The sequence below is a fragment of the Homo sapiens genome, chromosome 5 (assembly GCF_000001405.40).
Source record: "Homo sapiens chromosome 5, GRCh38.p14 Primary Assembly".
In the NCBI taxonomy this organism is placed as follows: Eukaryota; Metazoa; Chordata; class Mammalia; order Primates; family Hominidae; genus Homo; species Homo sapiens.
This window is the reverse complement of record NC_000005.10, coordinates 71,046,519-71,061,640: the sequence shown is the minus strand read 5'-3', so window position 1 is coordinate 71,061,640 and position 15,122 is coordinate 71,046,519. Positions and strand designations below refer to the sequence as shown.

At 37.2% G+C, this 15,122-nt stretch overlaps 1 protein-coding gene across 24 annotated transcripts in view; it reads left to right on the top strand.

Moving 5' to 3' along the window:
* GTF2H2 (general transcription factor IIH subunit 2) overlaps nucleotides 1-15,122 on the top strand; it is a 32,330-nt gene that overhangs the window by 6,036 nt on the left and 11,172 nt on the right. For 17 of the 24 annotated variants that reach the window (XM_047417131.1, NM_001395387.1, NM_001364570.2 and 14 more), the window contains 8 exons: nucleotides 333-369; nucleotides 711-797; nucleotides 1,471-1,521; nucleotides 1,897-1,951; nucleotides 6,184-6,289; nucleotides 12,483-12,573; nucleotides 12,792-12,879; nucleotides 13,528-13,635. In XM_047417131.1, coding sequence (XP_047273087.1) covers nucleotides 333-369; nucleotides 711-797; nucleotides 1,471-1,521; nucleotides 1,897-1,951; nucleotides 6,184-6,289; nucleotides 12,483-12,573; nucleotides 12,792-12,879; nucleotides 13,528-13,635 — 623 coding nt within the window. The remainder of the gene's footprint in view (nucleotides 1-332; nucleotides 370-710; nucleotides 798-1,470; nucleotides 1,522-1,896; nucleotides 1,952-6,183; nucleotides 6,290-12,482; nucleotides 12,574-12,791; nucleotides 12,880-13,527; nucleotides 13,636-15,122) is intronic. The other 7 variants (NM_001395395.1, NM_001395389.1, NM_001395396.1 and 4 more) reach the window with 4 other exon arrangements.

Genomic DNA, 15,122 nt, shown 5'->3' with positions numbered 1-15,122 from the left:
TAAGCCTTTCTATCTATAAATACTCCTCAGTACTTCATTTTAGCTGTGTTTCAGGGTAACTGACCTATTGCCTTCTGACTATGGGGAAAGAACTAGCCACCTACCCTTGCCCCAGCAGGAAATGGTCTTTAGAGACTGTCTACAATACCTATAATTGTGTGTATTGTATTCCATAAGTTAATTATTTACTCCACTAAAAATGCACGTTATGACATTCTTACTCAGAATTAGAAAAAAAGAAAAACAAAGGAGGTCAATTGGAAAGTTGTATTTTTTTTGTGGGGGGGGATAGTATATGGAATTACATTAAAATGTTTGTATAATTTTAACAGAGTATTTGAGCACCATGGACAAGTTCGACTTGGAATGGTATGTCATTATTTTTTCTTTTACTAGTACAGAACTAGTTTAGGTTAGAGAAACATTCTGTCTTGCTAGAAAAAACAATAGCAAAACAACAAAGTTTTTAAAAGAATATGTTAAAAATACGTGCATAGAATATGTAATTATTAAATGCCATTTTTACTAGTCAAAATGGCACTTGAGGCTGGGCACAGTGGCTCATGCCTATAATCCCAGCACTTTGGGAGGCCAAGGCAGGAGGATTGCTTGAGCCCAGGAGTTTGAGACCAACCTGGGCAACAGAACGAGACCCAGTTTCTACAAAACAAAACAAGTACTTGAAATTGGCCCTTTCTTTTTTCCGATAGATGCGCCACCTTTATGTGGTAGTAGATGGATCAAGAACAATGGAAGACCAAGATTTAAAGCCTAATAGACTGACGTGTACTTTAAAGGTAAAATTTAAGTTTATACTAAATCATTTAAATTTGTACCAAAATCACTTAAACTTTTACTAAAAAAGTGGGGAAGAACACTGGATTCTAAAGGATATTTTTAAAGAATGCAATATTTTTTATTTTTTGCCTTGTATTTTTAGTTAATGCTAATGATAGCTAAGTAGAAGTACTGCCAGGTTATTTAGGGAAATTTTAAACCAACATAGCTAATTATTTGTGTTTTTAATTTCTATCCTCCCACCCCACATCAGGATCTTGGTTTATCAGTTATCCCTTTTCTTTCTTGAATCTTCATTCTCCTTTGCCTTACTTAACTCTGTCTCCTCAGATTACAAATATGTTCGTATTCCTAATTTATCAAAACCTATTCTCAATTCTGCTCGTTCTCCCATCTCTCTTCATTGGATCTTTTCCTCATTGAAATTTCTTCTGACACATCCAAATGGTTCCATCTTTTAAAACCTAGCTCAAACCTATCTCATCACCCACCATTTCAAATTAACGTTTTTACTGTTTAATATTTTTATTACTTAACAGTTTTTGAAAATCTGTAAGTTTAAAAGTCATGAGAAGTGATGCTTGATTAACAGGTTTCACAAACATCAGTTGGACGTGTTCTTTATGATTGTTATTTTGCCTTTATCTAGTATGTCTTTTTTTGTTTAAACAGTTGTTGGAATACTTTGTAGAGGAATATTTTGATCAAAATCCTATTAGTCAGGTACGTATCTAAGTGATAGAATTCAGAATTAGATTCCTATTTTGCTTCCAAATGTAATTTATTTTTAAAAATTGGACATGTATTTTGTGAATTACCCAAATTGTTTAACCAGTTTCTGGTATACTTAAAAATGAAAAGCGTAATAACTCTAAAAGTTAAACGTAATGTGAACTCATAGCTAAATTTATTTGCCAAAAACAGCATGAGAAAAAGTTTCTCACCTGTTGCTTCTTTCTTTTGTAATTACTAGTTTATTTTAGCTATATAAATTATTTTTTTTTCTGCTCCAATATCATCTACAGGAATAGTTATATATATTCTTAATGGGAGGAAATAACTTGTTATATTAATAATAATTTTTGTTTTTATTTCAAGATTGGAATAATTGTAACTAAGAGTAAAAGAGCTGAAAAATTGACTGAACTTTCAGGTATGCATAAAATTACCTTTACATGACTCAAGGACTTTGCTTTATTTACCCAACCTCGTAGCCCTGTTTATATGGCTGCTTAATAAGTAACGTGAAGGGTGGTTCCTCTGTCTTCTCTAGGTGAAACAATTTAATAACATCTCCCCCACCATTATATTCTTAGGATACAAGGTTAACTATTCTAAATTGAGTTCTGCGTAGTGGTAAATAATACTACATTGAATATAAATGTTTTTATTTAAAATCTATATGTGCTTATCCTGAAATTTTTTTTCTTTCCTTTTTTTTTTTTTTTTTTTTGGAGATGGAGTCTTGCTCTGTCGCCAGGCTAGAGTGCAGTGGCACAATTTCGGATCACTGCAAAGTCCGCCTCACGGGTTCAAGCGATTCCCTGCCTCAGCCTCCTGAGTAGCTGGAACTACAGATGCCCGCCACCACGCCCTGCTAATTTTTTGTATTTTAGTAGATACGGGGTTTCACCATGTTGGCCAGTATGGTCTCAATCTCTTGACCTTGTGATCAGCCCGCCTCAGCCTCTCAAAGTGCTGGGATTACAGGCTTGAGCCACCGCATCCGGCCTTATCCTGAAAATATTAAAATACAGTTATTGTAATCATTTATAAAATCCAGTTAATCTTAAAATTAAATTCTTATAAAGTTAAGCATCTAATTTAAAAGGGAAAAAGTATAAAAATTAAACTGTAGCTATTGCTAATGAATCAATTTTTCTGCTTCCATGACATACCTAACTGAATTTTAGTTTCAAAACGTAGTAATGGCATTTTTTATTTGCTTTGGTATATATGCTGTTACAAATTTGCATCACTGATTCTATTTTATTTTCTGTGAAATACACTCTCCCTTAAATCTGGTTTTCAACCTTTTATCCTTGCCGGCACACATAAGGGAAATGACATACTTTCTTCATTAGTAGTTTTTCATTAAATGCAGTGAGGAGTGAAATGTACATTGGCCTGGAGTGATTCAAGAAACTCAGTTGTGAGTAACCAAAAGAATGTCACACTAGCTTAAGTGCAGAAGGAAAATTTTGGGCTATGTTCAAAGGTGGGCCAATTCCATATATAGTTGCTGCATATGTTGGGGTCCTGGCTTTGTCTGGCTTCATTCTCTGATAGATTTTCTGGAAGTTGAAAAGATGTCTCTTAATTGTCCCAGTCTACATTGTACCCGTAGCCTATAGCTTCAGCACACGTCTAGGGAGAACTCTGATTGGCCTGAGTTACGATCTGCCCATCCATGAACAAAGTGGCCAGGAAATGAAGTATTTTGTTTGTACGCTTCGATTGCCTGCTGATGCCCAGAGCAGGATAGAAGTAGGGTCAGCACCACATGAACTAAGCAGGATTATTATATAGTGGAAGAAGGATGGTTCCTCCAAGGTAGGAATATAAGGTCAATATTTTCCTCTCACTTTACCCACCCCGAGTTACCAGCAGTTTTCTATTACTTCTTTTTTTTTTTTTTTTTTGAGAAGGAGTCTCTCACTCTGTCGCCCAGGCGGTGCTGTCTTGGCTCACTGCAACCTCCGCCTCCCGGGTTCAAGTGATTCTCCTGCCTCCCCCTCCCGAGTAGCTGGGATTACAGGTGTGCGCTGCCACACCTGGCTAATTTTATTTTTAGTAGAGACAGGATTTCACCATGCTGGCCAGGCTGATCTCGAACTCCTGACCTCAGGTGATCTACCCACCTCAGCCTCCCAAAGTGTTGGGATTACAGGCATCAGCCACCATGCCCGGCCCCAGCAGTTTTCTATGGATGTTAGTGAAGTCATGTATAAAGATGAAAAATATTCTGGAGATTCTGACAGGCCTCTTGAAGCCACCTTTTTTTCCCTCCAATCAGACCACTGCTGTAAACCACACTGACACTATTGTAGTATGCTTTTTTCCTATACCCATAACACAGTGGGAGATTAAAAATAATTTTGTAGGGTAGGAAGAGAAGTGGATAGAGAGCCAGGAGATCTAGGTTTGGGTGCTGCTGGTCCTGCAGTTAAGCAGGCATATGTCTTTGGGCAAGTCATTTCACTTGTTTAGATTAATTTTCTCACTTATGAAGTGAGGGATTTGGACTGCTTAGCGAGGTACTTTTCATCTCTAAAATTTATGAATCTAAAATACTTGCAGTAAATATTAAATATTACAAATGGTTAATATTTTAAAACTTACTCAGATGAGTAAAAACTCAAGGGAGCTCCAAGTTGATGAATAGACAAAGAAGACATGATTCACACAGAAGAAACCCAGAAATTAAATCAGGGAAACTAGTAATCCAAAAAAACTCCACCCAATTACATAACATTTTATTTTTTAATATATTTTAAATGAGCAAAATTAAGTTTCCAAAGCAATATGTTGCTTGTGGAACCACAGAGAAACTGTTATTTATAGTGCTGATAGTCTTACAAATTAGTTCAATATTTTTTAGAAAAGCATAAAAATTGTTCCTGAAATTATATTTAGGGAATGTTATGGAAGGAGAATGATCACTCTACAAAGATACTCTTTGTAACATTATGTATAATAGTGACAGATTAAAAATTAAATGTTTAATAGTATGCTTTGATGGATTATATTTTATGACAAAATCAATTTAATGATACTTAGGTTATTGATTGATACGAAGACAGTGCTGAAATGGAAAATGTTTACGGAATACTATATTTCATTGAAACTCAGATTCCATCAATTACAAGATACTTTTATAAGCCATTAAGAAGGAAAAGTCCTAGTAGTTAAACTTTGACACAGTATCAAATGATATATGAGTTGGCTATACTAGCTTCTTGGTAATTTGACATGTACAGACATCTCAAATTTGGGGGCCAGGCGTGGTGACTTACACCTGTACTCCCAGCACTTTGAGAGGCTGAGGCGGGAGGATTGCTTGAATCCAGGAGTTCAGGACTAGCCTGGACAACATGGTGAAACCCTGTCTCTACCAAAAATATACAAAAAAATTTAGCCAAGTGTGGTGCTGGGCACTTGTAGTCCCAGCTACTTGGGAGGTTGAGGTGGGAGGATGGTTTGAGCCTGGGAGGTGGAAGTTGCATTGAGCCAAAATTGCCCCATTGCACTCCAGCCTGGCAACAGATATATATATAATCTAAATATAAATAATATAAAAAAATATTATATTAAAAAGAAAAAAAAGGATTTGGCAGCTTCTCCCCCCTTCATTTGAATTGCTTAGCATAAGATAGACAATCTTTTCAGATGCTATTTGGTAAGATAACACAGCTTCGTCTGTTTGTGGGAATATTCGTTTCTTAGGTCTTGTAAAGTTCTTGATTTCTTCCCTCAAGAAAAATACGGAATTGCATGCATTCTTCCATCAATATTTGATTCATTATAATAAATTTATGCCTCACTGCTGTGTTCCACACCTTTCTACATAAAAATATAGCCTTTTGTATTAACAACATTTCTAAAAACATTTTATTGTTTGTTTTTTGAGATGGAGTTTCGCTGTTGTTGCCCAGGCTGGAGTGCAGTGGTGCAATCTCAGCTCACTGCAACCTCCACCTTCTGGGTTTAAGTGATTCTTGTGCCTCAGCCTCCCTAGTGGCTGGGATTACAGGTGTATGCCACCATACCCAGCTAATTTTTGCATTTTTACTACAGATGGGATTTACACCATGTTGACCAGGTGTGTCTTAAACTCCTGACCTCAGGTTATCTGCCTGCCGTGGTCTCCCAGAGTGCTGGGATTACAGGCGTGAGCCACCGCGCCTGGCCTTAAAAACATTTTAAATGGCAGTTAAACTCACCATGAAGAGGACAATGTACATAATGCAATTGAAGCAACAACATATGAAGACCTATTTGTAGGTTCACATATGAACAGGCAAAGACTATGTTACAAGTGCTGCTGGCTACCAGTGATTATTAAACACATGCTGATTTCAGAGATGTTAAATGTGAAAATGTATTGGTCTTAAAAATGATGAAATATGGAAATATTAAGAGTAAAAAAATGCACTCTAGGTTAGCATTATTTTAAAATATGTATGCTAGTCTATAAGGAGATTATTTGTATTCTGTTTTTCAGTATGAAGTGAGAGTGTTTACAAAATATTGCAGATAAAATTCCAACAGAAATATACATTGAAAGGATTCTGTTCTTTAACATCATAGATATGTAAATTTTGAGAGAAACATAAACTTTTTTAATATATAGGATTTTATTTAAAGATCTTATTTCTATTTTAGGAAACCCAAGAAAACATATAACGTCTTTGAAGAAAGCTGTGGATATGACCTGCCATGGAGAGCCATCTCTTTATAATTCCCTAAGCATAGCTATGCAGACTCTAAAGTTAGTATTATACATTATGTATAATTGAATTAGAAGTTTTTTAAATGAGTTAAGCTGAAGTGATGTGTTAATATGGGGCCCATAAACCCAGCTATAACAAAATTGTTAAGTACAAGAATTATGTAGTGTTATTTATGATGTTTAGTGTGGTGTTGGTTAGTAATCTTTATTTTACATTTTAGTAAGATATTGTTAAAGGTTTTATAAAAATATAATTTAAAACTGTCGGCAGTATCAATAGTACAAAAATATGTTGATGAAAAAATATTTTATTAAAATGAGATTTAATATAGTATAATAATTGTAAGTTGGTTGTACCTTTATTAACATTTATTAATTTATTTTGAAAGTAATGGCCAAAACCACAGTTCCTTTTGCACCAATGTCATATATCTGTAAATTAATAGATATGGCAAGTTCAGCTATATGGAATAGAGCTAAGACCCCAAAGGAAATACTTGGTATAGTTAAAGCTTATATATATATATAAGCTTTATATACATATTATATATATAATTTATTATACATATATATATAAAGCTTATATATATGTTAAACTTACATATATAAGTTAAAGCTTATATATCTATTATATATATACACACACACACACACACACACACACACACACACACACACGTATATATATATTTTTTTTCGAGACAGAGTCTTGCTCTGTCACCCAGGCTGGCATGCAGTGGCGTGATCTCAGCTCACTACAACCTCCACCTCTGGGTTCAAGTGATTCTTGTGCCTCAGCCTCCCTAGTGCTGGGATTACAGGTGTGTGCCACCATGCCCAGCCAATTTTTGTATTTTTAGTACAGATGGGGTTTCACCATGTTAGCCAGGCTGGTCTTGAACTCCTGGCCTCAAGCGATCCGCCCACCTCAGCCTCCCTAAAGCTTATATATTTTATCTCTGGATAGTCCGCCCTGGCTCAGACTTATACCTTTATATAATAGATATTTTTCTAGTTTTGAAGTGGATGAGAAGGAGGCAACACATGTAATAGAGGTAAGTACAGTAGCAGGGTCTACCAGTGAGAGCTGAGAAGATAACAATGAAAATATAAGCAGGAAAGCTATAACTAACTGATAAAATTGCTGCAGAAAGCATAAAAAGGTCTATTTAGTGTAGGTGAAAACTGGTCACCACAACTTAAAAATCTACAAGCTATCATTTTAATTAAATGGTATGCAATATTAATGTTCATGATTATTATGACTCTGAATTACTGTGAGGTTAAATTATAGTAATCCCCCCTTATCTGCAGTTTCACTTTCCAGTTTTAGTTACTCTTGGTCTGAAAATATTAAATTGAAAACTTCAGTAATAAATAATTCATAAGATTTAAGTTGTGTGCCATTCTGGGTAGCGTGATGAGATCCTACACCTTCCCTCTCTGTCCTGCCCAGGACGTGAATCATCCCTTGGTCCTGTAGATCCTCACAGTATATGCTGCCCACCCATGTAATGGCCTAAGTCATCAGATTAACTGTTGTTATTGACTGTCAAAACTATTGCAGTGTTTGTGTTATTTTACTTAATAATGACCTCAAAGTGCAGGAGTAGTGATGCCGGCATGTTGTTATAAATGTTCCATTATTAGTTATTGTTGTTAATCTCTTATTGTGCCTAATTTATACATTATTGATCATAGGTGTGTATGTAAGGCACACCTCATTTTGTTGCACTTTTATTGCACTTTTCAGATAACTTTTTTTTTTACAAACTGACAGTTTATGGCAACTCTGTTGAGCAAGTCTGTTGGTGCCATTTTTTTTTAACAGCATGTGCTCACTTCTTGCCTCTATATCACACTTTGGTAGTTCTTGCAATATTTCAAGCTTTGTAAATTATTGTTATATCTGTTATGGTGATCTGTGATCAGTGATCTTTGATGTTACTATTGTAATTATTTTAGGGCACCACAAACTGCGCCCATATAAGACAACAGACTTAATTGATAAGTGTTACGTGTGTTCTGAGTGCTCCACCAACTGGCTGTTTTCCAGTCTCTCTCCCTCTGTTCGGCCCCCCCATCTCCTAAGACACAAAAATATTCAAATTACACCAATAATAACCCTCCAGTGGCCTCTGAGTGTTCAAGAGTAAGGAGGAGTCGCATGTCTCACTTTAAATCAAAAGCTAGAAATGATTGAGCTTAGTGAGGAAGGCATGTCAAAATGCAAGACTGGCTGAAGGCTAGGTCTCTTGTGCTAAACACTTAGTCACATTGTGAATGCAAAGGTAAAGTTCTTGAAGGAAATTGAAAGTGCTGGGCTGTGCGTGGTGGCTCTTACCTGTAACTGCAACACTTTGGGAGGCTAAGATGGGAGGATCACCTGAGGCCATGAGTTTGAGACCAGTCCTGGTAACATAGCAAGACCTCCACCTCTACAAAAAAAAAAAAAAAAAAAAAAAAAAAAAAAAATTAGCCAGGCACAGTGGCGAGCACCTGTATGTAGTCCCTAACTTCTCAGGAGGCTGAGGCAGGAGGATTGAGCCCAGTAGTTTGAGGCTGCAGTGAGCTACGATTGTGCTACTGTACTCCAGCTTGTATGATAGAGCAAGATCCTGTCTCAAAATAAGAAAAAAATAATGGAAATTCAAAGTGCTGCTTCAGTGGACACATGAATGATAAGAAAGTGAAACAGCTTTATTGCTGATACAGACAAAGTTTTAATGGTCTAGATAGAAGATTAAAGTAGCCACAACAGTCCATTAAGTCAAATCCTAATCCAAAGCAAGGCTCTAATTCTCTTCAATTCTATGAAGGCTGAGAGCAGTGAGGAAGCTGCAGAAGAAAAGTTTGAAGCTAACAGAGCTGAGCTCATGAGGTTAATGAAAGAAGCCATCTCCAAAACATAAAAGTGTAAGAGGGGCTGGGCGCGGTGGCTCACGCCTGTCATCCCAGCACTTTGGGAGGCCAAGGTGGGCAGATCATGAGGTCAGGAGTTCAAGACCAGTCTGGCCAACATAGTGAAACCCTGTCTCTACTAAAAATACAAAAAATTAGCCAGGTGTGGTGGTGTGCGCCTATAATCCCAGCTACTCGGGAGGCTGAGGCAGGAGAATCGCATGAACCCAGGAGGCAGAGGTTGCAGTGAGCCGAGATCGCGCCATTGCACTTTAGCCCAGACAACACTGTGAGACTCCGTCTCAAAATAAAGAAAAAAAAAGTGCAAGAGGAAGCAGCAAGTGCTGATGTAGAAGCTGCAGCAAGTTATCCAGAAGATCTAGCTAAAATAATTGATGAAGGTGACTACACTAAATATCAAATTTTCTTTTTCTTTTTTGTTTTTGAGAGAGAGTCTCGCTCTGTCACCCAGGTTAGAGTGCAGTGGTGCAATCATGGATCACTGCAGCCTCAAACTCCCAGGCTCAAGCTATTCTCCCAGCCCCACAAGTAGCAGGGACTACAGGCATGTGCCACCACACCCAGCTAATTTTTGTTGTTGTTGTTGTTGTAGAGGTAGGGTTTCGCCACATTGCCCAGCTGGTCTTGAACTCCTGGGCTCAAGCAGTCCTCCGCCTCTGCCTCCCAAAGTGCTGGGATTACAAGCATGAGCCACTGCACCTGGCCTCATATTTTCAATGTAAATGAAACAGCCTTCTGTTGGAAGAAGATGCCATCTAGGATTTTCATAGCTAGAAGAAGTGAATGCCTGGTTTCAGAGCTTCATGGGATAGGCTTCTTCTCTTGTTAGGGGCTAATACAGCTGGTGACTTGATGTTGGCACCAATGTTTGTTACCATTCTGAAAATCCTAGAGTCCTTAAGAATTATTCTAAATCTATTCAGTCTGTGCTCTGCAAATGGAATAACAAAGCCCAGATAACAGCACATCTGTTTACAGCATGGGCTTACTGAATATTTTAAGCCCATTGTTGAGATATATCTCAGAAAAAAGATTTATTTCAAAATATTATTGCTCATTGACAATGCACCCAGTCACCCAAGAGCTCTAATTGAGATGTACAAGAAGATTAATGTTATTTTCATATCTACTAACATAGCACTCATTCTGCAACCCTTGGATAAAGGAATACTTTGAACTTTCACGTCTTGATTATTTAAGAAATACATATCATAAGGCTGTGACTGCCATAGATGGATCTGAGCAAAGTACATTGAAAACCTTCTGGAAAGAATTCACCATTCTAAATGCCATTCATAGAAAGAGGTCAAAATATCTACACTGGCTGGGCATGGTGGCTCATGCCTGTAATCCCAGCACATTGGGAGGCCGAGGCGGGTGGATCACTTGAGGTCAGGAGTTCAAGACTAGTCTGGCCAACATGGTGAAACCCCGTCCTCACTAAAAATACAAAAATTATCTGGGCATGGTGGTGCATGCCTGTAATCCCAGCTACTGGGGAGGCTAAGGCAGGAGAATTGCTTGAACCCAGGAGGCAGAGGTTGCAGTGAGCCGAGATCGCACCACTGCACTCCAGCCTGGGTGTCAGAGCAAGAATCAGTCTCAAAACAAAAAAAGAATAGCCCATAAACTTAGTTGGTAAAGCATCAGTGGGGTTTCAAAGGAATGACTCCCATTTTGAAAGAGGTACTACTATGAATAAAATGCTACCAAACAGCATTTGCATTCCTTTCATGAAAGGAAGAGTTGACCCATGTAACAAACTACTTTGTCTTATTTTAAGAAATTGCCATAGCCACCTCACCCTTCAGAAAGCACCACTCTGATCAGTCAGCAGCCATCAATATCAAGGCAAGACTCTCCTTCAACAAAAAGATATTATTCACTGACAGTTCAGTCGATTTTTAGCAATAAAGTATTTTTCATAAAGGTGTGTACTTTTTTTTTTAGATATAATGCTGTTGCACACTTACTAGACTACAGTATAGTGTAAACAGAACTTTTCTTTTTCTTTCTTTTTTTTTTTTTTGAGATGGAGTCTCGCTCTGTCGCCCAGGCTGGAGTGCAGTGGCGCAATCTTGGCTCACTGTAAGCTCCGCCTCCTGGGTTCACACCATTCTCCTGCCACCACGTCCAGCTCATTTTTTTGTATTTTTAGTAGAGACGGGGTTTCACCGTGTTAGCCAGGATGGTCTCGATCTCCTGACCTCGTGATGTGCCCGCTTCAGCCTCCCAAAGTGCTGGGAATACAGGCGTGAGTCACCATCCCTGGCCGTAAACAGAACTTTTATATACACTAGGAAACCTGAAAGTTCATGTGACTTGCTTTATTGCAAATATTTATTGTGATATTTGCTTTATTGCTGCGGTCTGGAATCCAACCCTGCAGTATCTCCAAGGTATGCCTGTATAGGGAAAAACATGGTATAATCAGCCCTCTGAATCCTGGGTTCTGCTTCTGTGAATTCGATCAACCACGCATCAAAAATTTTTGGAAAAAAATTGTACCTGTACTGAACAAATAGACATTTTTTCTTGCCATTATCCCCTAAATAATAGAGGATAACAATTACTTACATAGTATACATTGTATTAGGTATTATCAATAATCTAGAGATGACTTAAAATATATGGGAGGATGTACATAGGTTATATGCAAATACTACGCCCTTTTGTATCTGGGACTTGAACATCTGCAGATTTTGGTATCCATAGGAGGGCCTGAAATCAATCCCCCAAGGATACCGAAGAACGACTGTATATATAGGGTTCAGTACTATCCTTGATTTCAGGTATCCACTGGGGGTCTTGGAATGTATCCTCTGCAGATAAGAGGGGACTACTATAGTCTTTGAGAAAGAAGTGTGTGTTACTGTTTTGAAGCCACATCTCTGCACTTTAAAGCTGATCCATATGATATTGCCACATTTTAGTTTAAAGTTTATCCATATATTGTTGTATTTTTTATTGTATACTCTAGACTTTGTATGAAACAAACCTACTAGAATGTAAGCTTAATGATGTCGGGAACATTGTCAGTCTTGTTTATCACTCTACCCCCAGAACTTGAGAGTACTTGGTAAATATTAAATGAATCAATTAACAATTTTTTGAAGTGCATAGCTCATTTTAGAAAAATTTGCATTAAAGTGTTTAAAATATACTCACAACCTTTCTTTGCATTGTTGAAACAAATGAGATATTCTATAGTCTAAATGTGTAATCCTATGTTTACTGTTCTTTCTGGGTAAATTTTTTGGTAGTATAATTTGTTGTACCTAATTGGAGTGTATTTTATCTTTCTTTTAAGACACATGCCTGGACATACAAGTCGAGAAGTACTAATCATCTTTAGCAGCCTTACAACTTGCGATCCATCTAATATTTATGATCTAATCAAGGTAGACCAAAAAATCAAAACCAAAGTTATAACTGTAAAGAGAATTCTGTAGCAAATTGATTTATATATATATGTATTTTTGTATGTGTGATTCATCTTTGTGGTAGATGTATTGAATTTATTACTAGTTTTCAGAGCATTCTTTATTTTTCAAATACATTAAATCTTAAATGTTTTTCTTCTTTCCTAAAACTATCTATCTACTTGGATTTTATGAAGACCCTAAAGGCAGCTAAAATTAGAGTATCTGTTATTGGATTGTCTGCAGAAGTTCGCGTTTGCACTGTACTTGCTCGTGAAACTGGTGGTATATATATAATTTATTTAATATTTGCTTATAATTACTGTGTAGGAAATAATTTATTAATTAAATTAGGATGTTTTAATCTGTTCTGAGCTACTAAACTTAAAGTAGTCTAAAATATGGGCAGTCATCTTAAATATATCATTGATTCCATAAGAAATCATCTCCAAATGCAAAGAGTTTTCAGTACTTATGTCAGTATTTAGAGGAGGTATTATAACTCTTGGAAAGCTGGAAATTTTACTGTATGTAATTCTTTATAAAGATTTTATAACTTGTCTTTAATTAAATTGTAATTACAGGCCAGGCATGATAGCTCATGCCTGTAATCTCAACATTTTGGTAGGCCAAGGCAGGAGAATCACTTGAGGCCAGAAGTTTGAGATCAGTCTGGTTAACATAGTGAGACCTGTCTCTATTTATATGTTAAAATAATAATAATAGTAATAATAATCAATTGTAATTATAGTTATTCCTAGAGAAGTTGATTTAGATATATTACTTAAATAAGGTTTTAAAAGTGATAATTTAGCTAAAATCATTATTTTAAAAATGTACATTTTCAGATGATACAACTTTTACAGAATTACATAGAACGTACAGTTCGTTATGTCTATGAAGGTGTTTTTTTTTCCCTTTTCATCTTGTTAGGCACGTACCATGTTATTTTAGATGAAAGCCATTACAAAGAGTTGCTCACACATCATGTTAGTCCTCCTCCTGCTAGCTCAAGTTCTGAATGCTCACTTATTCGTATGGGTAAGTGTTTTTATGTTTTTAAAAAATACATATCTAGGCTCTCCATTTTCATTTGCACAAGTTATTTTAATATTTAAGAATTTTTAAAGAAAAAATATGCTTGTTGAAGCAATTTTGGAAAGTACAGAGAAGTGGAAAAAAAAAATTAAAACTACCAGTAGTCCTGTCACCCAGAAAATACTGTTGGCTTTCTTTATTTTTAAGGCTAGAAAGGTATAAACTGTGTTTATAGAAAAATACTTATATTAAGCCGGGCTCGGTGGCTCACGCCTGTAATCCCAGCACTTTGGGAGGCCGAGGTGGGCGGATCTTGAGGTCAGGAGATCGAGACCATCCTGGCTAACACGGTGAAACCCCATCTCTACTAAAAATACAAAAAATTAGCCAGGCGTGGTGGCGGGCGCCTGTAATCCCAGCTCCTCGGGAGGCTGAGGCAGGAGAATGGCATGAACCCGGGAGGCAGAGCTGGAAATGAGCCGAGATCACACCACTGCACTCTAGCCTGGGCGACAGAGCGAGACTCTGTCTCAAAAAAGAAAACAAAAGAAAAACACTTATATTAAAAATTTTTTAAAATAAGCTACAAAGGCCGGGCGTGGTGGCTCATGCCTGTAATCCTAGCACTTTGGGAGGCCGAGGCTAGCGGATCACCTGAGGTCAGGAGTTTGAGACCACCCTAGCCAACATGGCGAAACCCTGTCTCTACTAAAAATTACCAAAAAATGGCTGGGCATGGTGGCAGACATCTGTAATCCCAGCTACTCAGGAGGTTGAGACAGGAGAATTGCCTGAACTCAGGAAGCGGAGGTTGCCATGAGCTGAGATTGCGCCACTGCACTCCAGTCTGGGTGACAGAGCAAGACTCTGTCTCAAAAAAATAAAATAAAATAAAAATAAAATAAGCTACAAAATTCTCTGTACTGGATGATCAAAGCTGTGTAATGCAAACTGTGCAAAGACAAAGCTTGCAGGGAAGTACACCAAATTGCTCAAAGGAGGGGAAATTATTGGTTTTGGATCACTTTTTTTTTTCTTTTTTTTTTTGAGATGGAGTCTCATTCTATTTCCTAGGCTGGAAGTGCAGTGGTGCGATCTCAGCTCACACTGCAACCTCCGCTTCCCAGGTTCAAGCAATTCTCCTGCCTCAGCCTCCCGAGTAGCTGGGATTACAGGCGGGCACCACCATGCCCAGCTAATTTTTGTATTTTTAGTAGAGACGGGGTTTCACCATGTTGGCCAGGCTTGTCTTGAACTTCTGACCTCATGATCCGCCTGCCTCGGCCTCCCAGAGTGCTGGGATTACAGGCTTGAGCCACTGTGCCCGGCCTTGGATCACTTTTTTAAAATGTTATTTTCTTCTATTTTACAAAAATGTTACAATGAAAATTTATTACATTTATATTGAAAAAAGTATAACTTTTAATAGAAAAATAATCTCCTTATTTAATATGTATATTTTTAAATGTTAATGAAATAAAATGCTTTTC